The following is a 26297-nucleotide window of genomic DNA, read 5'->3' on the forward strand; positions in this document are numbered from 1 at the left end:
AACAAAATGGGCAATAAAAACCATATGATCATTTCAATTGATGCTGAAGAACCGTTTGATAAAATCCAACATCCTTTCATGATAAAAACCCTCAAAAAACTGGGAATAGAAGGAACATACATCAACATAATAAAAACTATATATGACAAACCTCACAGCTAGTATCATTCTGAATGGGAAAAAACTGAAAGTCTTTCCTATAAGCTCTGGAACACGACAAGGTTGCCCACTGTCATCTCTGTTATTCAACATACCACTGGAAGTCCTAGCTAGAGCAATCAGACAAGAGAAAGACATAAAGGGTCTCCAACTGGAAAGGAAGAAATTAAAGTATCCTTGTTTGCAGATGATACAATCTTATATTGGGGAAAACCTAAAGACTCCACCACAAAACTATTAGAACTGATAAACAAATTAAGTAAAGTTGCAGGATACAAAATCAACATACCAAAATCAGGAGCATTTCTATATGCCAACAGTGAACAAGGTGAAAAAGAAATTTTAAAAGTAATCCCATTTACACTAGCCACACACAAAATTAAATACCCAGGAATTAACTTAACCAAAGAAGTGAACTATCTCTATAGTGAAAACTATAAAACACTGAAGAAGGAAATTGAAAAGGACACCAAAAAATGGAAAAATATTCTGTGTTCATGGCCTGGAAGGCTCAATATTGTTAAAATGTCCCTACTACCCAAAACAATCTACAGATTCAATGCAATGCCTATCAAAATACCAAAGACATTCTTCATAGAAATAGAAAAAGAAATCCTAAAATTTATATGGAACCACAAAAGATCCAGAATAGCCAAAGTTATATTAAGCAAAAAGAACAAAACTGGAGGAATCACATTACCTGACTTCAAATTATACTACAAAGCTATAGTAACCAAACAGCATGTACTGGCATAAAAACAGACACACAGAGGAATGGAACAGAATAGAGAACCCAGAAACAAATCCACACACCTACAGAGAACTGAGAAAGATGCGAAGAGCATACACTGAGGAAAAGACAGTCTCTAATAAATGGTGCTAGGAAAACTGGATATCCATATGCAGGAAAACAAAATTAGATCCCTATCTCTCAGCATATACAAATATAAAATCAAAATGGATTAAAGACTTAAATCTAAGACCTCCAACCATGAAACTACTACAACAAAACATTGGGGAAAATCTCCAGGACATTGGTCTGGGCAAAGATTTCTTGAGTAATACCCCACAAGCACAGGCAACCAAAGCACAAACAGACAAATCGGATCACATCAAGTTAAAAAGCTTCTACACAGCAAAGGACACGATCAACAAAGTGAAGAGACAACTCATAGAATGGGAGAAAATATTTGCAAACTATCCATCTCACAAGAGATTTAAAACCAGAATATATCAGGAACTCAAACAATTCTATAGGAAAAAGTCTAATAATCTAAAAATGGGCAAGATTTGATCAAATGATAAAAAGGGGGCAAAAGATTTGAAAAGACGTTACTCAAAAGAAGACATGCAATTGGCAAACAGGCATATTAAAAGATGCTGAACATCACTGATCATCAAAGAAATGCAAATCTAAACTATAATGAGTTATCATCTCACCCCAGTTAAAATGGCTTATACCCAAAAGAAAGACAGGCAACAACAAATGCTGGTGAGGATGTGGAGAAAAGGGAACCCCTGCACACTGTTGGTGGGAATATAAATTAGTACAACCACTATGGAAAACAGTTTAGAGGTTCCTCAAAAAGAAACTAGTAATTGAGCTACCACATGACCCAGCAATCCCACTGCTGGGTACAACCCAAAAGAAAGAAAATCAGGAGTGCAAAGAGACATCCGCACTCCAATGCTCGCTGCAGCACTGTTGCCAAAAGCTAAGATTTGGAAGCAACCTAAGTGTCCACCAACAGACAAATGGATAAAGAAAATGTGGGGCAAATACACAATGGAGTACTATTCAGTCATAAAAAACAATGGGATCCAGTCATTTGCAACAACATGGGTGGAAATGAAGATCTTGTTAAGTGAAATAAACCAGGCACAGAAAGACAAACATCTGGCCGGGCACGGTGGCTCATGCCTGTAATCCCAGCACTTTGAGAGGCCAAGGCGGACGGATCATGAGATCAGGAGATCGAGACCATCCTGGCTAACACGGTGAAACCCCATCTCTATTAAAAATACAAAAAAATACAAAAAAATTAGCCAGGCATGATGGCAGGTGCCTGTAGTCCCAGCTACTTGGGAGGCTGAGGCAGGAGAATGGTGTGAACCCAGGAGGTGGAGCTTGCAGTGAGCTGAGATCGTGCCACTGCACTCCAGACTGGTGACAGAGCAAGACTCCATCTCAAAAAAAAAAAAAAGAAAGAAAGAAAGACAAACATTTCATGTTCTCACTTACTTGTGGGGTCTAAAAATCAAAACAACTGAACTTATGGACATAGAGAGTAGAAGGATGGTTACCAGAGGCTGAGAAGGGAAGTGGGGGATACAGGGGAGGTGGAGTGGTTAATGGGTACAAACATAACAGAATGAATGAATAAGACCTTCTATTTGACAGGAAAATAGGGTGACCACAATCAACAATAATGTAATTGTACATTTTAAAATAACTTAAAGAGTGTAATTGAATTGTTTGTAACTCAGAAGGAAAAAGGTATAAGGAGATGGATATCCCATTCCCCATGATGTGCTTATTTCACATGCACACCTGTATTAAAACATCTCATGTACCCCCAAAATACATACACCTACTATGTGCCCACTAAAATTAAAAATACATATATATGGCCGGGTGCAGTGGCTCACGCCTGTAATCCCAGCACTTTGGGAGGCCAAGGTGGGCGGATTACTTGACGGTAGGAGTTGGAGACCAGCCTGGCCAAAATGGTGAAACCCCAACTCTACTAAAAATACAAATAAATTGGCTGGGTGTGGTGGTGGGCGCCTGTAATCCCAGCTATTCAGGAGGCTGAGGCAGGAGGATCACTTGGACCCGGGAGGCAGAGGTTGCAGTGAACTGAGATTGTGCCATTGCACTCCAGCCTGGGCAACAGAGCAAGACTCCATCTCAAAAAAACAAAAAACAAAAAAAAATTAATAATAAAATTAAAAGAAATAAAAATTAAATGTTTTTTAAAAAAGCAATCTCATTGTCATCACATCACATTTCTGCTCTGTACAGCTAAAGCCAGACAAAATCAAGAATGAAATCTACAAAAATCTAAGGAAAAGAAAACATTGCAACCCAACAATACTATTCTTAAGTAATCTATTTTCCCATGGAAAAAAAAATAGAAACCTGTTCCGACAGGCAAGGACTTTGAAAGAATGCCATCTACATTCTCTTCCTAAATGAAATGCCCCCATCACCTGAAAATAAACCAAAACTCTAAAGAATGAGGAGGGGCCGGGCGTGGTGGCTCATGCCTGTATTTCCATCACTTTGGGAGGCCGAGGAGGGCAGATCACCAGAGGTCAGATCACCAGAGGTCAGGAGTTCAAGACTAGCATGATGAAACCCCCGTCTCGACTAAAAGTACAAAAATTAGCGGGGCATGGTGACACATGCCTGTAATCCCAGCTACTTGGGAGGCTGAGGCAGAAGAATTGCTTGAACCCAGAAGGCGGAGGTTGCAGTGAGCTGAGATCACACCACTGCACTCCAGCCTGGGCCACGGAGCGAGACTCCATCTCAAAAATAAAAAATAGAAAATAAAAAAAGAATGAGGAGGAATGTAAGTTTAAAAAAAAAAGTGAAAGCATAATGAGTGGGACAGCGCTCATGCCTACACAACTATTTTTAATAGGGTTCATAATATTTAAAATAAATGTCCAAAATGATTTTTGAAAGACAAGCTCCCAATTTCTCGCTTTCCCCCTAGCTGCTGGCAACCACCATTCCACTTTTTGTCTCTATGAGTTTGATTATTCTAGGTACCTGATAAAAGTGGAATCATACAATTTTTTGTGTGTGTGTGTCTGGCTTATTTGACTCAGCATAATGACTTAAGTAAGGTTCATCCATGTTGTAGCATGCATCAGAATTCCATTCCTTCTTAAAGCTGAATAACATTCCATTGCACAGATGTACCACATTCGTTTATTCATCCACTGATGAGCACATGGGTTGTTTCCACCTATTGGCTTCTATAAATAATGCTGCTACGAACACTGATGTAGAAATATCTGTTCAAGTATCTCCTTTCAACTGTTGTCTGTATATACCCAAAAGGAGAATGGTGGATTATGTGATAATTCCATTTTTAGTTTTTTAAGGAACCACCATACTGTTTTCCACAGTAACTGTACCATTTTACATTCCCACCAGCAATGCATAAGAGTTCTTATTTCTCTACCCTCACCAACACTTACAATTTTGTTTTCTTGATAATAACCATCCTAATGGTGTAAAGTGATCTTACTATGGTTTTGATTTCCATTTTCCTAATAATTAGTGATGCTGCACATCTTTCTCTGTAATTATTTGCCATCTATATATCTTCTCTGGAGAAATGTCTATTCCAGTCTTCTACCCATTTTTTCATTTGGTCGGTTTTTGTTGTTGTTGTTTTGTTTTGTTTTTGAGACAGAGTTTCACTCTTGTCACCCAGGCTGCAGTGCAATGGCACGACCTCGGCTCACTGCAATCTCTGCCTTTCGGGTTCAAGCAATTCTCCTTCCTCAGTCTCTCAAGTAGCTGGGATTACAGGCGCCCGCCACCACGCCTGGCTAATTTTTGTATTTTTAGAAGAGACGAGGTTTCACTGTGTTGACCAGGCTGGTCTCGAACTCCTGACCTCACGTGATCTGCCCACCTCGGCCTCCCAAAGTGCTGGGATTACAGGCATGAGCCACCGGTTGTTGTTTTTTGAGACGCGGTCTCACTCTGCCACCCAAGCTGGAGTGCAGTGGCATGATCTTGGCTCGCTGCAACCTCTGCCTCCTGGGTTCAAGCAATTCTCCTGCCTCAGCCTCCCGAGCAGCTGGGATTACAGGCACCCACCACCACACCTGGCTAATTTTTGTATTTTTAGTAGAGACGAGATTTGTCTTTTTAGTAGAGACCACCGTGTTGGCCAGGCTTGTCTCAAACTCCTGACCTCAAGTAATCCGCCCACCTCGACCTCCCAAAGTGCTGGGATTACAGGCGTGAGCCACCACACCCAGCCATTTGGTAGGTTTTTAATGGTTGAGTTGTGGGAGTTCTTTATATATTCTGGATATCAATCCTTTATCAGATATATGATTTGCAAATATTTTCTTGTATTCTATGGGTTGCCTTTTCACTTTGTTGACAGAGTCCTATGATGCACACAAGTTTTAATTTTGATAAAATCCAAATAATCTACTTTTTTTTTACTGTTCTTGTTTTAGTGTTGTATCTAAGAATCCTATGCCAAATCCAATGTCATGAAGCTTTTTCTCTATGCTTTCTTCTAAGAGTTTTATAGTTTTAGCTCTTACATTTAGGTCTTTGATCCATTTTGGTTTATTTTTATTTATGGTGTGATACAGAAAGAAATCCAACACCATTTTCTTGCATATATATATAATCCAGTTTCCCCAACATTATTTGTTGAAAAGACTGTCCTTTCCCAATTGATTGATCTGGCACCATTACCAAAAATCATTTGACCATTTACGTCAGGGTTGATTTCTGAGCTCCCTATTGTGTTCCATTGGTCTATACGTTGTCCGTCTTTATTCCAGTACCACAATGTCTTCACTACTATGCTTTGTCATAGGTTTTGAAATCAGGAAGTATGAGACATTCAATTTTGTTCTTTTTTTTTTTTTTGAGACAGGGTTTTGAGATGGGGTCTCGCTCTGTTGCCCAGGCTGGAGTGCAGTGGCATGAACACAGCTCACTCCAAGCGATACCACAACCTCAGCCTCCCAAGCAGCTGGGACCACAGGCACAGGTAGTAATTTTTTTCTTATTATTAGTTTTGTGGAGACAAGGTCTTGCCATGTAGTCTAGGCTGGTCTAAAACTCCTGGGCTCAAATGATCCTCCTGCCTCAGCTTCCCAAAGTGCTGGGATTACAAGCGTGAGCCACTGTGCCCAGCCAATTTTGCTCTTTTTCAAGGTTGTTTTGGCTATTCAGGGACTCATGGGATTCTATATAAATTTTAGGATGAATTTTTTTCTATTTTTGCCATGCACATCATTGGCATTTTGATAGGAATTGCATTGAATATACAGATCATTTTGACATCTTAACAATATTAGTCTTCCAACCCAGAAACATAGATGTCTTTCCATTTATTTGTGTCTTCTTTAATTTTTCTCAGTAATGTTTCAGTGTACAAGTCTTTCATCTCCTTGGTTAAGCTTATTCCTGAATATTTTATTCTTTTTGATGCTATTATAAATGAATATTTGTTTAATTTTATTTTCAAATTGTTCATTGTTAATGTGTAGAAATGCAAGTCATTTTGGTGTGTTGCTTTTCTATCCTGCAACTTTGGTAAACTTGCGTATTGGTTCTAACAGTTTTTTGTGGAATCTTTAGGGTTTTCTACATATAAGATGATGTGAATAAAAATAATTTTACTTCTTCCTTTTCCATTTGGATGTCTTTTATTTCTTTTTCTTGCATGATTGTTCTGGCTAAAATTTCCAATACTGTGTTGCACAGAAGTGGTAAAAGCAAGCATCCTTGTTTCTGACCTTGGAGTAAAAGATTTCAGTCTTTCACTACTGAGTGTGATGCTAGTTTTGGGTTTTCCACACCTGCTCTTTAACAGATAGGTTGAGGTAGTTTCCTCCTATTCCTAGTTTGTTGAGTACTTTTATCATCAAAGTGTATTAAATTTTGTCAAATCTTTCTCCGAATAAATTGAGATGATTGTGAGGGATTTTTCCCTTTCCTTCTGTTAATGTGGTATATTACAATGACTGAATTTTGTGTTATTTTTAAATTACAGTCGTGCCACGTTTTGGTCAAGGAGGGACCACATATATAATCTTATTGTAAGATTATAATACTGTATCTTTACTGTAACTTTCTATGTTTAGATACGTTTAGATACACAAATACTTACCATTGTGTTACAACTGCCTACAGTATTCAGTACAGTAACATGCTGTACAGATTTATAGCCTAGGAAGAATAGACTATGCCATATAGCCTAAGTGTGTAGTAAGCTTGTGTAAGTATACTAGGTTGTGTAAGTACTCTATGAGGTTCACACCAACAAACTGCCTAAGGATGCATTTCTCAGAAAGCATCCCTGTCATTCAGCGATGCATGACTCTAAGTGATGCATGACTGTATTGAATAATAATCTAGATCCAAAAATTCACATAATTTTTAAACCCAGTTTTTTGAAAAAGGATGAAATTATGTTTAATTTTTAATTTCCACTGGTCATTCTTCAAAGCAATAAAGATGAGATAAAAGTTCAGAATTTTGAATTTACAGAAAACTGCTAGTTAATTCACAGGTAACAAAAACAGAGAGAAAAGGTTTCAAAGGGTTTCAGACCCAACAGTAACTCTTAAGAATCAACAGTCAAGAATAAATGGAGATACAGAAAGTTAACTGACCCTTATTTTGTATTCCAGAGACTACATTGGAGCAAAGCTGATAGAAAACCCACTAAAGTTCTATAGGTGTCACATCACCAGTAAAACCTCAGGCCTGATAACCAGGAATTCATCCTGATGCACACTAATACTGCAGAAAAATCTTGGTCTTTTAAACAATTTCCAACCCAATAATTTTTTAAAAGATGCAAGCAACAGCCCCAAGTTGAATCCTTTAAAGCATACATAGAACCAAAGCATTGTTATTGAAGGAAGAAAGGGAAAGAACAAGGGATAAACAGTCCGTCTGGAAAGATTTATACAAAACTATTTATTACAGTCATTAACTCAAAACAGTATACCACCTGACTCAGCTAATTTTCCTGTTTTGACAAAAATTTTAAGCATCATAGATCAATTGTAATTTTTCCAGTTGGCTTATTAAAATTTCTTTCCATGGTTTCTGCTTGCATTCCTGCAGGGCATAGACCTGCACTACCATGCAAAGTAGGGACTGCCCTTATTTATTTCTTTAAACTATGGCTCTTACATCCCATTAAGGTAATTTATTTCACTAAATCCCTGGATACTATTTAAAATTTCTGTCAAAGCATTAATAACTCTTTTACTGTCAGTTATAAATTTATAGGAAAGTGAAAAAATAATAAAAATCAATATTTAGTATACTATAACTTAAAACGTTGGAAAAATTGAAAATTAACTTGGCCAGGCACATTGGCTCACACCTATAATCCCAGCACTTTGAAAGGCTGAGGTGGGAAGATCAAGTAAAACCAAGAGTTCTACACCAGCCTGGGCAATATAGCAAGACCCTGTCTCTACAAAAAATAAAAATAAAAAAATTAGCTGGGCATAGTGGTACACATCTGTAGTCCCTGCTACTCAGAAGGCTGAGGTGGGAGGATCGCTTGGGCTCAGGAGTTCAAAGCTGCAATGTGTTACAACTGCACAACTGTACTCCAGCCTGGACAACAGAGCAAGACCCTGTCTCTAAAAAAACAAAAAAAAAGGCAAAGAAAATGAACTTATCAAGAGTGGTTTGAACAGAACTTGTTCTCTTATCAGTGTTTAACTCATGATACTGAGGAAGAATCTTTCGTATTCCTCAGTAAATTATCATGCTCCTTTCTAAGTCTGGATCAGCTTCCAACATTTTACCCTTTGCATTTTCAATGTTCTCAACTATCTCCTAGAGTTCCTTTAATGAATGTGAGGTCTTCTGACAGCATCACTTCCTCTGAGACAGCTTCATGCTCTTCAACAAAATCACTTTCATCATTTATGTTGGTTGAAAATCTCACCTTACCAAGTTCCTCCAGCTATAAATTCAGTCTCTTAAAAACGTGTAATGTCAGTAGTTCCACAGCCAGCTACTTCTGTATAACTTCATTTATATTCTACCTGATTTTCATTACATGTTATCACTTTTCATTTCTTTGCTGTATTTTCACTTTGTTGGGCAAATGCCTCTTTCAATTATTCATTTCTGTAAAATGTCACATGTGTTTCTTACTGGGAGACAAAGAGGCAACACAACTACATGCTTTGTTGTCTGTGCATAAACTGAGTAACAGATGCACAGTGACCAATCACTGACAGATTTTGAAAGAAGTGACATGATTGATCATGGATCATGATACATGTTTGTAATTTACAAGTTATTTGTAGAATGAAGAGCTAGCAGTCAAGTTTGTACATTATCCAAGTACACAATTAATACACCATGGTAAATGAAATTTGAACCATATTGTTAGGGGATTGGTGTCACTTAACTAAACTGTAGTAACTGAAATTCATATGTATAAAAGCCATGCAAAGCAAGAACTGCCTGCCCATAAATACTCCTATGTATAGAGCATAACATTAACAAATCAAAAATTTACAATGGAATCCTCAAAATTGCCCCTATACTGCCAAATGACATAAACATGAAAGCAAGGATCAAGTCACTTACAGATGTCCTACAGATACAATTAGTACTTGACTTTAATATATTTGATTTTCATACCACCTCACTTTTTAACAGAGCATGCTGATACCTGTTATTTGGACTTTAATATATCAAGAAAGGAAAAGAGATCTGAAGCTCTCATACGATGGCACTGCCTGCTGGAAAACAGTATTGTTTTAGTTGTGTCATCGCCTTATTACAGTAGTTTATTTAAGCAATTATGCAAATGTATTCAATTTTGACCTTATTATATAAAATTAAGTGGAAAATAGAATCAGCAATGGTGGTGATAAAAAGGATAGTGTTAATAAGAAAAATCAGTTTTATGAATTTGATTCCAGTGAAACAAAAGCAAAACTCCTGAGCATCAGATAGTCAGTGGAATTAAGCAAGTTTTTTCTCTGTGAATGTGGAAAATCAAATGAGTACGTACAGAGAGTGCAACATAAATTGCAAAACTATTTTACTAAAGATGGTATATACAACTAGAACCCTGGAAAAATAAAAAATTAAAATTAAAACATTAAAAATAATTAAGGAACTATATTATATCTTTAATTCTCTGGCAATAGAATCCTCATAACTTATTAATCAATTGTTTATGTTTTGCTTTACAGCTGAACACTGGTGAATGCTCTTATATTTAATAATATTTATTAGAAGTTCTAGGCTTCTAAACTGAATAAAGTGTTTCTATTGGTAGTAAGAGAATTTAAAAAACAGATGAAAGTATGCTCAGAACATTTAGGCTGTGAAAGGACAAAAAAAATCATTCTTTAGTATCCCTCTGTGTAGGAAGTCAAAATAGCTTGTATATCATCTTATTTTGTCTTCAAAATGACTAACTACCTCATTCTCATAGTAGAAATACCTTGAAATTAGATACAGGGAAATTAAAACAGAGAAAAGATAAAATTAAAACCTAAGTTTCTTGATTTTTGACACTTCAATAATGTACTTTTTTCTTTAACATTTTTGGACAGGAAATTCTAAGTTAATATTAAGGGCAAACAGAATATTAGACTTGGTATTTAACGTATTTTTATATATATATATAATAATATGATCACTGCTTGTCCATTTTTCCAAAATTGAAGTAAATGAGTATTTTACCTACCCCAACAATCCGCTTCATAGCATCCAGTTTAGCAGAATCTTTGTTGCTCTCTAACATTTGCTTTAGATCTTCATTCCTATTACAAAAGAGAAGAAAAAAAATCCATACTTTGATTTTTATATTAGATAGCTTAAAATATATCATTTTCATAAGAATTAGAAGTAATATCATGGGCAATGTTAAATAACTGCAGCAAGAAGGTGGCCATCTGCAGGCCAGAGAGAAAGGCCTCAGCAGAAACCAAACCCGCCAACACCTTGATCTTGTACTCCCAGGCATTAATTGTGAAAAAATTAATTTCTGCTGATTAAGCCACCCAGTCTGTGGCATTTTGTTATGGCAGCTCTAGCAAACTAATACAAGGGTTAAATGTTACAAACTGTCATTGCAAGAAAAAAATAAGTAAAAGCTAAGCACATTTTTTTCAAAAGGAATAAATGCAATGAAATTTATTATGAAAAAAATGAGCCTTACTTTCCAAACAGCTCATAAAATTAAATGCAATGGTGACCAGTAGAGAAGACAAAATACAATTAAATAATTAAAACACCTACTTCTTCCTAATTAAAAATACAGCTTGAAAATATTTAAACAGTAGAGGTAGTAATAAATAAAAACTGTCTCTGAGAACATACAACTACTACACATACTATAAATGTTCACCTTAAGGAATTTAGGATCCCTGCATAAAACTTTTCAGGCTCTTTCAGATTTCACAGGTAACAGAAAAGGGAGAGAAATTAATGGAACTATATATGTAACTGTATTTTGTTCTTCTACTTTTTGCTGTATTTTCCTATTTACTTAATGACTATGTATACTTTTATAATGAAAAACCTAAACCCTAAAAGAAACCTTAAAAAAATCTTACTGAAGTTAGGTAAGAAAAAAAAAGAATTCGATAGGAACTAAATAGAAAGGAAATGTGGTCACACATACACACATGCCAAAAAAGAAAACAATTTTCTCCTGCTTGTTCCCCTTTTCTGTTCCCCAAAGTGTCCCATTATTCTCCTCTACCAGTTTTATCTGGAGAGAGAAGTGAGCAATGAAGAGGAATGAAGTGTCAATTTTTAGAACAGCCCAACCTCTAATTCCAGGCATAGTCTTACTCGTAAACTAATGGAAACTTGGTTTGCTCATCTAAAGCCCAAATTCCCAGAGTGCCCAGAACAAGCACCTGCTCTCTGAAACTAAAAACAAGAAAACAGAATCTCAATATTAAAGATAAAGGTTTTGCTCTTCATGGTTAACAGAAAAGCTAGTCTTCAACAACAAATACTGCATTAATATAGGAAGAGAAACTAATAATTCTGAGGTTCAGGGAAGAGACAAGAAAAATCCTAGGCACTGTTTCAACCTGATGTAATATGCAGCTTCTCACGTATGTCATAAGGATCTATTTAAAATTCTGATATAAATTACATGTTTCTTCCCAAATTCTTCTTTGCCTGTCACCAAAACAGTAAAGATTTAGGAAAGTTAATACCATAACACCTACTTTACCCTCAAAATACATTAACTTTTATTAAGTTCTTTTAGGTCTACCTTCTTCATTACGTAGATTCAAATATGATCAGTTAACATGTATTACTGCATAAATCTTAGATACTATTTTGTTAAATATCAATATTTGAGTCAAAATAATGCTGAATTAGCAATATTTTCCTCAACTCTTTGCTGAAAACAATAGTTGTTTCAAATATATTCATTTTTAATTTACCTGTGTCTTCATTTACCTAGTTACCTGTAGCTTTCTAGCTTTGAGTATTAGGATACCAACTTTATTTTTACATAAGTGACATCTTGTGGTGTTAAATGGTATAACTTTTCCTTTCATGTTCAAAATAGGCCAGTTTTAAGTTTCAAAGGACAGAGAAGAATATATAACTGAACATTTAAGGCAAATCTTACTATTACCAGGAAAGTCATTCTTATTTTAGCCCCAGAATGAACTAGTAACTATAACTGAAAAATAAAGTTTACCAGTTATATATAAGAACTAGGGATGTGTTAGGGCTATTATGTAGTGTAAATTACCTCTCTTTTTAATCAATCTATAATCCATAACTCATTAAAACCTTCTACTCCTTCTAAAGACAACATAAATTAAGGGGAAAATTAAGACTATGTAGTACTGTACACTATATCAGTGCTACTTAAAGTATGATCTGAGAAAGTCTGGTCCAAGAATCATGACTAATTCACAAATTTTTGTTACCAACCCATGAGGAGATAGGTACCAAAATTCAGAATAAGCACATTGAGAACCGTGACGGAACAATTTGACAATGTAATTTTATGTTTATTGAGTCTAATTTAAAAAGTGGGGCTTGTATTTTATTTTGTGTGCCTTTTTCATTTTATTTTTCTTTAATTTTATTATGTTTTTGTTTGTTTGTTCTTTCTTTTGAGACAGAGTCTCACTCTGTCACCCAGGCTGGAATGCAGTAGTGTGATCTCCGCTCACGCAACCTCCGCCTCCTGGATTCAAGTGATTCTCCTGCCTCAGCCTCCTGAGTAGCTGGGATTACAGGAGTGCATCACCACACCCAGCTAATTTTGTATTTTAAGTAGAGATGGGGTTTCATCATGTTGGCCAGGCTGGTCTCGAACTCCTGACCTCAGGTGATCCACCAACCTCGGCCTCCCAAAGTGCTATGATTACAGAAATGAGCCACCACGCCTGGCCCATTTTATTTTTCTAGTAATTTATTTTTTATTGTATTTTGTAGAAGTATCCATCAATATTGGACTGGAAATTTTAAAAAGAAAAAAGAAAGGACTTTTACCATTTGAGAGCCCCACACTACAAAGTTACCTTCTTTTTCCTCAAAATTATGGTACACCAAAATTTATATACCATAGAAAGCAACACCTAAAACTTACATCCAGGAAATCATGGACTGGAAAAGTGATAAGGAATAGCAATTTCCAATCAGAGATACATGCCCAAAAAAGGATGTATAAAAATATTCAACGAAGGGAAGGCTGGACCTTTATGGAGCCCTACCAAAAAATTCCAAAACACAGGCACCTCTTTAGGCATAGAGAACCACTCCAATAAAAGATGCTACTATCCAAGTGGTGCGCTGCAAATATGAATGGATATGCAGAAAAAACGCTGGAAACAGAGTCAGAACTTACCATTTCCCAGTGCTATGTAGCCAAAGGGAGTGGCCCTCATAATAATAATGTTTTTGTGCAAAACATTAAGGCTTAGGAACATTTTCAGTTCACTTAGGATCTAAGCTTCCCTTGCAGAGTGCTCAGAACTTTGGCTCTTTCTGTTGACATCTGATACCCATGACCACTACTCTTTCATCTTGAAATTCCCTCCTCCTTTTGATTCTGTAGCTCTATTCTCATCTGGTTCTCCATTCGCATTTGTGACACAGCAATGAACAAAAATGACAGAAAAACCCTTGCCCTCATAGGGATTTCATTCTATTAAGTAAAAGAAACAACAAACATAATAAGTAAGAAATTTTTAAGTCATGAGGTAATATAGGGGAAAAACTTTTGGCACAAAGCCTCCACTTAATAAATGCAACAGTGAATAGAAACAAAAAACTCCATTGCTAGTGTCTTTACCTGCTCACCCATCTATTAACTTTCTAGGCAGGGCACAGTGGCTCAAGCCTGTAATCCCAGCACTTTGGGAGGCTGAGGCGAGAGGATCACCTGAGGTCGGGAGTTTGAGACCAGCCTGACCAACACGAAGAAACCCCATCTCTACTAAAAATACAAAATTAGCCTGGCATGGTGGCACATGCCTGTAATCCCAGCTATTCAGGAGGCTGAGGCAGGATAATTGCTTGAATCTGGGAGGTGGAGGTTGCAGTGAGCCGAGATGGCACCATTGCACTCCAGCCTGGGCAACAAGAGTGAAACTCCATCTCAAAAAACAAAAAACAAACAAACTTTCTAAAAGTCAGAATCATAAATTATCCAAATAAATATGAATATTCCTCCTATACTGTTCACAAGATTAAAAAGAAAAAAGCCTACAGACCCTTCCTCAACTCTTGGTAATCTCATTTACCTTTAATTTAAAATGTCTCTCACACAGGGTAACAAACAACGTCTTAATTTAAAAATCCAAGGTAAAATCTCATGAATAGTTTCAGATTATTCCTCTGTACTTGTGAGGACTAAACTCTGACTTTTCTCTCTCTTGCCCAAATTCCTAAGGGGCCTGAGGAGTCCTGCCCTACAAACCATAAATTCTCATCAGATGGATTTTAATTTAACCCTACGTAACGTGGCTTACTTTCCAACCTGACTATAGCATAACGTCACATGACATATAAAGAAGGCAATCAAAATATTTTACCCCAAAATATGCTTCTTTGCCATATTTTTGAACCGGCCCTGCAAAGCAGCCTTTTGTGGAAGAAAATCTGCATCTGTAAAGGATCTCTACAGAGTTTCCCCTTCCAGGCTCTAACAATTCTAAAGAGATTAACTGAGAGTCCAGCACTTTTAAAGATTTGAATAGGAAACATTTGCCATCTATTGTCTCTAAAGGCAGCCACCTAAGAGACTTCATAAGAATCTTGGTTTCTACAGCCCTTTATCCTAACCCAGCCACACCTTTCTCTTGATCCCAGGTTTTTCAATAACAACTTAACTCTTTCAAGTAATTGCCAATCAGAAAATCTTTAAATCCACCTGTAACCTGTAAGCCCCCTGCTTCAAGCTGTCATGCCTTTCCCAACTGAGCCAATGTATACCTCACATGTACTAACTGATGTCTTACGCTCCTTAAAAATATAAAATCAAGTTGTAACCCAACCACCTTGGGCACAGGTTCTCAGGATCTCTTGAGGTCATGGTCACTCATATGTGGCTCAGAATAAACCTCTTCAATTATTTTACAAAGTTTGGCTCTTTCTGTTGACATCTGATACATATGACCATTACTCTTCCATCTTGAAATTCCCTCCTCCTTTAGATTCTGAAGCTCTATTCTCATCTGGTTCTCCATTCGCATCTGTGACACAGCAATGAACAAAAGTGATAGGAAAAACCCTTGCCCTCATAGGGATTTCATTCTATTAAGTAAAAGAAACAACAAACATAATAAATAAGACATTTTTAAGTCGTAAGGTGATATGGGGGAAAAAAACAGAGGAAAAGGATACAGAAAGGAAAGAAGGAGGCAATTTTAATAGCACAGTTTGAGTAAATTTTAAAAGTGACATCTGAACAAAGATTTTCAAATAAGAGAGTTAGTTATGCAGATATCATGGGGAGCAAAGGGGGACAGGGAGGATAAGCAGGTCAAATAACTCTAAAAGTTTTTGGTGTTAACTCTGAATAAATAAAGAACTGCAGGTTTTGAACACAGGAGAGTCATGATCTATTTAACAGGATCATTCTGGCTGCTACATTCAGAATATACTGTAGGGACTTCCATATCTGTCCATGACACTGTAGCTTACAAAAAACTAAACCTGCCATAGAAAATAACTATAAAAGCTGAAATACATACATATACACACATATATGTATGCATATACATATACACACACACAAGTACTCTTAAGGGGCCATGATCCTTGAAAGAAGAGAAGCACAAAAAGTGAGCCCCTAGGCCAGGACAGTGGCTCACACCTATTAATATAATCCCAGCAGTTTGGGAGGCCGAGGCTAGTGGATAGCTTGACCTCAGGAGTTTGAGACCAGCCTGGGCAACATGGTGAGACTCCATCTTTACTAAAAATACAAAAAGTAGCCAGGTGTGGTGACATGCGCCTGTAATCCCAGCTGCTCAGAGACACGGTGGGAGAATCTTGAGCACAAGAGGGTAAGACTGCAATGAACCATGATGATGCCACTGCACTGTGGCCTGGGTGACAGAGTAAGAACCTATCTCTCTCAAGGGAAAAAAAGAGCTCCTCATTCACACCAGCTTTTTCCCTCAGTACATTTCCCAAATTGCCATGTGGGAGAACAGAACCCAAGGAGAAGTCACAGTCTTAATAACTTGAGGAGACAAATGTTGAATTCCAGGGCTGCCACAGTGACTGAGACTTGAAGGACAAAATTACAGAGGAGGGAACCAGAGACAAGGTACACAAAAATCTGTGTGCAAAATGTTGGCTGCAATTCCTAAGGCAAGACTCCAGGAAACACAACAAAAAACAGCAGCTGTCAAGTCTGTCCTCAGAAGAGAGGCTTTGGTGAATGCCCTGGACTTTCCATTAAGATTACTGAAGAGCCACACAGAGTGCTAAGGAAGATGCCCGAGGAGTATAAGAAAAAGTTCCATAAACAAGACCTTAAAAAGTCTAAAACTGAGCTTTGACAAGATCAGAATGATCTGCTTACATTCTATTTGCTTGGCTGGAAAAAAAAACAAAAACAAAAACCCAGCCCTGTATGGAAGAAGCTATCACCCAAAGCTTCATCAATCATTTTTATCCTAAATACCTAGCATCTGATCAAAACTTACGAGACATACTAAAAACAGGATGAAATTACCCCCGCCCAAAAAAGAAAAAAAGGAAAAAAAAAAAAAAAAAAACCAGGAGCAGATCCATGAGTGACTCAGATACCAGAGTTATCACACAGGGATTTTAAAATAATTACAATTAACATGGTCAGGAAAATGTAGAAGAGATGGACAAAACAGATGAAACAACACAGAAATCAACAATTAGTAGAATCCATACAAAACAACCAAATGGACATTCAGAACTGAAAAGTATAGTATATGAAATTAAGAACTCATTAGATAGGTTTAATGGCAGACTGGAAATGGGAGAAAAAAAGGATTATCGAACTTGAAGGCAGGTCAAGAGAAAATATACAAATTGAAGCACAGAGAAATAAAAGAATGGAAAAAATAGAACAGAGCATCAGAGGCATATGAGATAAAGGTAAAATTTCTAACATACCTCTAATTAGAGTTCCAAAGAGAAAAGAGAGTATGAAACAAAAGCAGTATTTGAAGAGATAATGGTTAAGAATTGTTCTGAACCTATGAAAAACATAAACCCACATATTTAAAAATCTTAGAAAAAAAGGACAAACATAAAACTACACCAGGTACAGCATAGTCAAACTGCTGAAAACAAGAAACAATGAGAAAAATCTTAAAAGCATCCAGAGGCTGAGCATGGTGAATCATGCCTATAATCAAGCACTTTGGGAGGCCAATGCAAGAGGATTGCTTAAGGCCAGGAGTTCAAGACCAGCCTGGGCACAACATAGTGAGGCCCAGTCTCTACAAAAAATATTTTTAAAAAATTAGCTGGGCATGATAGTGTGCACCTATAATCCTAGCTACTCAGAAGGCTGAGGCAAGAGGATTGTTTGAGCCCAGGAGTTCAAGGCTGCAGTGAGCTATGATTACACCACTGCACTCAGCCTGGGTGAGACCCTATCTTTTTTTTAAAAAAAAAGGCATCCAGAAAATTACCTTGAGACAGGAGTCAACAAACGTAAAGGGCCAGAAAGTAAATATTTTAAGTTTTACCAGCCATACCATCTCTGATGTAACTAGTCAACTCTGCTATTGCACAATGAAAGCATCTATAGATAATACAAAAACAAATGGGCATGGTTGTGTTCTAATAAAACTTTATGTACATAAACAGATGGGTGGTTTGCTGGTCCCTACCTTAAAAGGAATAACATTTCAACAGACATTATAAAGGCCAAAAGATATCGGAATGACATATTTAAAGGGCTGAAAGAGAAAAGAATGCCAACATAGAATTCCATACCCAGGATATTAAAAATATTCTTTATTTCACTAAAGGTGAAATAAAGTGGTTTTCAAACAAATAAAAGCTGAAGATCTGCTGCCTGGACATAGGGTATCATTTCAAAAGGAAAATAATTTTACATTTATATGCAATTTATACAGATTCTAAATTTACAGTTTCCATGTGTAAAGCAAATGCTGACAGACTCATGGAAGAAAAACACACATCCATAATCATGATAGGCAATTTTTTTTTTTGGGGGACAGTCTTGCTCTGTCACCAGGTTGGAGTGCAGTGGCGCAATCTCAGCTCACTGCAACCTCCGCCTCCCGGGTTCAAGCAATTTCCCTGCCTCAGCCTCCCAAGTAGCTGGGATTATAGGCACGCGCCACCACACCCAGCTAATTTTTTGTATTTTAGTAGGGACAGTTTTCACCATGTTGGCTAAGATGGTCTCGATCTCCTGACCTCGTGATCCACCCACCTCGGCCTCCCAAAGTACTGGATAACAGGCATGAGCCACTGCCCCCGGCCATGATTGGCAATTTTAACACACCTCTCAGTAACTGGCAGAACCAGGAAACGAAAAATTCAATAAAGGTGTAAAAAATTCGAACAACATAATTAAACAACTTAAACTTACAAGCATAGAACAATATATCCAACAACTGCAGAATAAACATTCTTTTCAATTGTACATAGGACATTTACCAAAATAGACTATATAAGGTTTCAACAAATTTGAAAGGTATAAGAATCAGAGTATGTGGAATCTAAATAGAAACCAATACTTAAAAAATAAAATAAAAACTAAAAAGTGCTCACATAATGGTAATTTTTTTTTTTGAGATAGGGTCTTGCTCTATTGCCCAGGCTGGAGTGCAGTAGTATGATCACAGCTCACTGCAGCCTCAAACTCCTAAGCTCATGAGATCCTCCCACCTCAGCCTCCCAAGTAGCTGGGGCTACAGGCATGTGCTACCTTGCCTGGCTAATGTTTTTTTATTTTTTGTAGAGATAGGGTCTCCCTATGTTGTCCAGGCTGATCTTGAACTTTTGAACTCAAGCAATCCTCCCACCTCAGTCTCCAAAAATGCTAGGATTGCAAGTGTGAGCCACCATGCCAGCCTGCAACATACTTTGTGATTTGACAAAGTGCAACATTTCATAACTTGTGGGATGCAGCTAAAGCAATATTTAGAAGCAAATTTAGGCTGGGGGAGGTGACTCATGCCTGTAATCCCAGCATTTTGGTAGACCAAGGCAGGAGGATCACTTGAGCTCAGCAGTTCAAGACCAGCCTAGACAACATAACAAAGACACTATCTCCACAAAAAATCCAAAAATTAGTTGGACTTGGTGGCATACACCTACAGTCCTAGTTACTCAAGAGGCTGAGGTGGGAGGATTGCTTGAGCCCAGGAGTTCAAGACCAGCCTGGGCAACACGGCAAGACCCTTTCACCACAAAAAAAACAAAAAATTAGTCAGGCATGGTGGCATGCACCTTTAGTCCCAGCTACTCAGGAGGCTGAGGTAGGAGGACCACTTGAGTCTGGGAAGCTGAGGCGGCAGTGAGCCAAGATCGCACCATTTCACTTCAACATGAGTGACAGAGCAAGACCCTGTCCCTAAAAAAAAAAAAAGAAGAAGAAGCAAATTTATATTTCTAATTACAATACAAAATCAGAAAGATTAAAAATCAATGATCTAAGTTTCCATCTCAGAATGCTAGGAAAAAAAAACAGCAAATTGAACTCAAAGTACAAGTAATAAAATAATAAAGATACAAGAAGAATTTAATAAAACAGACTAACATGTTTTGCATTTATAGTATATTATTAACTTATTTAGCTACCTGGTATTATTTTCTGAAGCTTGTATCTTATTTTAGTATCACAAAGCCTCTATGAAACAAAACTACAATAGAGAAAAATCAACAGAACTAAAAGCTGATGTCTATTTCAAATAGGTTGTCATGAAGACTTAATAAAATCATAAAGCACTTATCACTGGGCCTAGCACATTTATTTATTCAACATCCATTATATGCCAGAAGCTGCTCTAAGTATTGAAGTCCCTGAATATTCTAGGACCTAAATTTTAACAAACAAGGAATTGGTGGGAGGGAGTTTAAGGGGAATGACAGGAAAAAAAGGAGAAGGGAGGGAAGTAAAGAGGGAGAGAGCAAGGCAGAGAAGGAAGAAAGCAGGGAGGAACAAAAACATAAAGAAAGATCAGATAAGTAGTACACAAACAATTAAAATAAGGAATGCAATAAAGTAAGACTGGGTGATCACAAAAGACCTCCACGGATAAGTGATCTGAGGTCTCGAAGTACAAGGAGACAACCAAAGAAATCATACAAGATAACAGAGCAAGAACAAGCTTGGCTATAAAGAATCCAAAAGAAGATCTATGAAGGGCCTCTAAAGGTAGGCTGAAGCAGGTTACATTCCTTACCGGTCCATAACAGATACACAATAAACATTAGTTGAAAAAACAAATGAAAGCAGGCTATATACTAAACTTGTTTCTTAGAAAGACACAGAAGAACCCTTTCACTGTAAAGTCTCAAAAGGATCCATGATCCCAATAAAAGTTAAAAACCAAGCATATATCTTCCATGTCTTCATATCATTCATATGCGTATTAAAAGCCATGATGTCATACAGACATCACAGGACATCTTCATATTTGCCATGATCTTTATCAATGCCCTCAGCTACTTGGCCTCTTGGTAGGCAGCAGGAAGTATGTTTTACCTTTGCTCAGGAGATTAGGAATGTCTTCTAGAATGTGACTATTCAGTAGTATATTTGTTAATGTTTCCTTTTATTGCTTCTGAGACTCCCCCAATCTTAATCTTCTATACAAAGTGGCATTTTTGGTTTACAGTGTTTTTAAACAGTGAAAAGGAACTTTTTGCCTGTTACAAATTTTATGCATCACCATATATAAACTAAACTATGTCAGTGGCTCTATGAGATTTCCTGTAAAACTTTTTTCCTACAAATAGATAAATTCACACAGGTATGCAAAAACTTATGTTGAAATATTGTTTTTATGTGATGAAAAGTGAAATCAATCAAATGCCCCTCCAAAAGGGGACTAATTCTTTGGGAGGCCGAGGCGGGCGGATCACGAGGTCAGGAGATCGAGACCATCCCGGCTAAAACGGTGAAACCCCGTCTCTACTAAAAATACAAAAAATTAGCCGGGCGTAGTGGCGGGCGCCTGTAGTCCCAGCTACTTGGGAGGCTGAGGCAGGAGAATGGCGTGAACCCGGGAGGCGGAGCTTGCAGTGAGCCGAGATCCCGCCACTGCACTCCAGCCTGGGCGACAGAGCGAGACTCCGTCTCAAAAAAAAAAAAAAAAAAAAAAAAAAAGGGGGGGGGGGACTAATTAATTATGAGGAACTATTACACAGTGGTTTAAAACAGGGGTCCTCAACCCCCAGGCCACAGAACATTACCCATCTGTGGCTTGTTAGAAACCAGGATGCCACACAGCAGGCAAGTGGCAGATGAGGAGTATTACTGCCTGAGCTCCGCCTCCTGTCAGATCAGTAGCGGCATTAGATTATCAGAGGAGTGCAAACCCTCTTGTAAACTGTGCATGCGAGGGATCTAGGCTGCACGCTCCTTATGAGAATCTAATGCCTGATCTGAGGTGGAATAGTCTCATCCCCAAGCCAACCCCCACCCCCTTCCATGGAAAAACTGTCTTCCATGAAACAGGTCCCTGGGTACTGCTGGTTTGGCGATTGCTGGTTTAAAAGATTAAAATGGTATCATATGTTGATATGGAAAGACATATCAACATATGGAAAGATCTTTTAAAATATACCAGGTGGAAAGCAAGATACATAGAGAATAGTATATATATGATCGTTTAATTTTTTTAAAAAATTTCTGAAAGGATACATAAGAACTTGTTCTTTGTAGTTACACATGAATGGGAGTTATGAGATATGGGATTGGAAGTTATATCCTTTCCACATCATTGACTAACTCACCGCTAACATGTCGTGTTTATAACATATTATTAACTTATTTAGCCACGTGGTAGTGGTTTTATTTTCTGAAGCTTATAACACTGTCTTATTTTAGTATCACAAAGTCTCTATGAAGCGTGTGTAGCTATTATTGTTCCCATTTAATAGATGAGTAAACCAAGTCTCAGAATATATAAAGGTAACATAAGATTACATAGCATGTGAGAAATTCTAAAATCACATGCCTTTTATGTATATCATCATAAAACCAGGGAATGGCAAAGCAAGGAATTAAATTTCAATCTTGTTTTGAAATTCAACATTCTTCCTATTCACCATACTACGCTGTCAATTTCTGCTATAAAGCTGACTATATTAAGAATATATTTCAATGGCCGGGCACTGTGACTCATGCCTGCAATCCCAAGACTTTGGGATGCGGAGGCAGGAAGATCGCTTCAGCCCAGGAGTTCAAGAACAGCCTGGGCAACATAGGGAGACCTAATCTCTACAAAAGAAAAATATATATTTTTTAACATATTATATAAAATTTATATATATTATATATTAAGTCCTATATATGTATATATAGGTGTGTATATATATATAGGACTTAAATATATATAGGACTTAAATATATATATATATGACTTAAATATATATATATGACTTAAATATATATATATATATATATATTAGCCAGGCATGGTGGTGTACACCTGTGGGCCCAGCTACTCAGGAGGCTGAAGTGGGAGGATCAGACCAGGAGGTTGAGGCTGCAGTGAGCCGAGATCGTGCCACTGCACTCCAGCCTGGGCGACAGGGTGAGACTCTGTCTCAAAAAAAAAAAAAAAAGAATATATTTCAAGAACTATAAAGTAATACCTTATAAAAGGTATAAAATCCATAACCTGGAGTGTCATCCCCCTCCCTACTTAATCTATAATCACAAGAAGAACTTTTCTTTTAAACTCAAAATTTTCATGAAAAGAAAACTGATCACTAGAATCATAGTAAACACTGATTCTAATTATTCTCAATGGTAGTCTAAAACATCTGTGATACACTTCTGTATAAGTCAAAATAAATTTTATTTTCACTGACATTACTTTGACTGTATTTGGTTAACATTATCTCATGTAGATTCATCAGCTCAAAATTAATTAGTATTACAGAATAGTGTATTCCGTCCAAACAATTCATCTTTGTTGGCTCACATGGCTCACTGCTATTGGCATGCCACAGTAATAATAGGCATGGTGCCACAGTAACAGATGGGCATACACACAAACATGCCAAAGAATCCGTTTGTGCATCAAGTTTGAGTATTAGTATTAGATTTTTCTCCAAGAAATTCATAAACTATAGTAGAGGAAATATAAGTTTTCTACAACTGTGTTAATAAGATATGCCAACTCAAAGCTAGATTAATTTTTAAATTCTTTAAAAAAACAACAACAACAACAACTTTCCAAGGCCACAGAAGGCAAGTTTTCCATCTGATGAGTTTGGATCAGCATTCTGTAAAGGGAATTCAGGAAACCAATATGCAATGTCTGCCTTTGTCCCTGATGCACTTGGAAATCTCAATAAAAAAATTAGTTTTTAAAAAGTCACAGGGCAGTATTGCAGATGAAACAGTTCTAGACATCTGTAGCACAACAATGTGAATATAGTTAACACTACTGAATTGTACACTCAAAAATGGTTAAGATAGTAAATTTAATGTTATGTGTTTTTTACCACAATTTTTTAAAGTCACATGGTCCCACCAAGTTTCCTGATGAAGGCTATGTAGAACCAGAAACAGAAAAAAAGTCCTACAAATTTGTACTTGACAGGAATAGAATCTAAAAGTGCAAATCACTTAAGTTTTATGTGATTATTTTAAAGTATGCTATCACTTAAAAACAATTCTCGGCCGGGCGCAGTGGCTCGCGCCTGTAATTCCAGCACTTTGGGAGGCCAAGGCAGGTGGATCACCTGAGGTCAGCAGCTCGAGACCATCCTGACCAACATGGCAAAACCCTATCTCTACTAAAAGCACAAAATTAGCCGGGCATGGTGGTGCATACCTGTAATCCCAGCCACTCAAGAAGCTGAGGCAGGAGAATCGCTTGAACCTAGGAAGCAGAGATTGCAGTGAGCCAAGATCGTGCCACTGCACTCCAGCCTGGGCAACAAGACCAAAACTCTGCCTCAAAAAAAAAAAAAAAAAAAAAAACAGTTCTCATCTATAGTTAATTATCCCATTATAATTTATTTTTAAAAGACTGACTAACTTATTTCCATGTGTAGTTTTACATTTTTGAAACATAAACATATCCTATTGACCAAACTATATTGAAACTTTTTTTATAGTTTTGCTACATGAATGAAAAACCGTTTTACAATACTAAGAATGCTAAGAAAAAAATCATTTGCAGTCACTATCATCCAAAATTATTTAAGTAATATACAAAGTATCAAAATAGATGGGACTCTGTGTGTATGTAGGAATAGGAGAGAGGAGAAAATAGGGATTTATTTAATGGGTGCAGAGTTTCAGTGGTGCATATAAAAAGAGTTCTGGAGAGGGATGGTGGTAACGATTGCCTAACAATATGACTATATTTAATGCCACTGAACTGCACACTTAACAATGGTTAGGTTGCTTGATACCTTGTCAAATAGGGGAAAAAATGGTTAGGATGATAAAGTTATTCAGGTGTATTTTACCATAATTAAAAATAAAAGAGAAACTACTCTAAAAGAAAAAAAAGCTCGTTAGACTCCATGTCTCCCTGCAATAACCATCCTTCGTCCTCTACCTGAAAGCCAAAGTTCTTCGGAGAAGTGATCTTCTTTTACTCACTTCTCACCCATCCACCAATGGACTGCCATCGATTTCCACACTCAACATCCCTTGACACTGCTGTCACCACCACCAAGGTCACCAACAACTGCCTTATCACCAAACTGCCTTACCATTTTGCTTGATTCCACACCAGCAGCTGGCACTGCTGACCATTTAGCCCCTCCTCTTTTTATTTCTGTTAAAGCAAAACATACATAAGCCTGCCTTCTTTTAGGAAAAATGAGAAATAGGCTGCTTCTTCAAGAACAGCTTCAAAGCCATAGGATACAAAAGAAGACTGAAAATTGAAAAAAAAAAAAAGTTTAAAACAAATACACTTTTTACTCCTTTGTACTATAATCATTGTTCCCAAATCCTTGATAATCACACAGAAGAATCAGGGCTTATTAATTTCATTTATTTTTATGTGGTGCACATTAAAGGTACTTTGTATTAAGCTGGTGCAAAAGTAACTGCAGTTTTTGCCATTAAAAGTAAATATATTTAGTTGTTTCAAACACTTGTGAAATATAATTCAGAAAAACTGAAGTTTGATGAAAATTTGAAAATTAAAAACATAAAGCAATGGTTAATGTTAAAATTAACAATAATTCTAAAATTATAATAGCTTAAAAAGTACATCATATTAAAAATAAAACAGGCCAGGCATGGTGGCTCATGCCTGTACTCCTAGCACTTTGGGAGGCCAAGGCAGGAGGACGGCTTGAGCCCAGGAGTTCAAGACCAGCGTGGACAACATAGTAAGACTTGTCTCTACCAAAAAAAAAAAAAAAAAATAGCTAGGCATGGTGATACATGTCTGCAGTCCCAGCTACTCAGGAGGCTGAGGCAGAAGGATCACTAGAGCCCAGGAGTAAGCCATGATAGGGCCACTGCACCCCAGCCTGGGGCACAGAAAGAGATTGTGTCTCTTAAAACCAAAAAAGAAAAATGAAAACAAAACTTTAAATGACTTTAATGGTGTTATAATGGTAATCATAATTACTATGTTTATTATGTACCAGGCACTATTTACATATGTTAAATCTTTTAATCCTCACAACTAGTCAATGAGTGTAGGTACATTATCATCCTCATCCCCATTTTACACATAAGAAAACCAAG

At 37.1% G+C, this 26297-nt stretch overlaps 1 protein-coding gene across 3 annotated transcripts in view, besides 1 other annotated feature; it reads right to left on the reverse strand.

The window, feature by feature from the left end:
* Window positions 1-26297, reverse strand: part of AP3B1 (adaptor related protein complex 3 subunit beta 1) — a 294177-nt gene that overhangs the window by 256376 nt on the left and 11504 nt on the right. For all 3 annotated transcript variants that reach the window (NM_001271769.2, NM_003664.5, NM_001410752.1), the window contains exon 2: window positions 10623-10698. In NM_001271769.2, coding sequence (NP_001258698.1) covers window positions 10623-10679 — 57 coding nt within the window. In that variant the 5' untranslated portion in view covers window positions 10680-10698. The remainder of the gene's footprint in view (window positions 1-10622; window positions 10699-26297) is intronic.
* Window positions 14624-15354: an enhancer, noted in NCBI's record as "OCT4-NANOG-H3K27ac hESC enhancer chr5:77567345-77568075 (GRCh37/hg19 assembly coordinates)". NCBI's record gives its function as "activates a minimal SCP1, AML or CMV promoter by ChIP-STARR-seq in naive H9 embryonic stem cells {active_cell/tissue: H9 hESC(naive)}" and the evidence as "EXISTENCE:reporter gene assay evidence [ECO:0000049][PMID:30033119]".

The sequence above is a fragment of the Homo sapiens genome, chromosome 5 (assembly GCF_000001405.40).
Source record: "Homo sapiens chromosome 5, GRCh38.p14 Primary Assembly".
Taxonomy (NCBI): domain Eukaryota; kingdom Metazoa; phylum Chordata; class Mammalia; order Primates; family Hominidae; genus Homo; species Homo sapiens.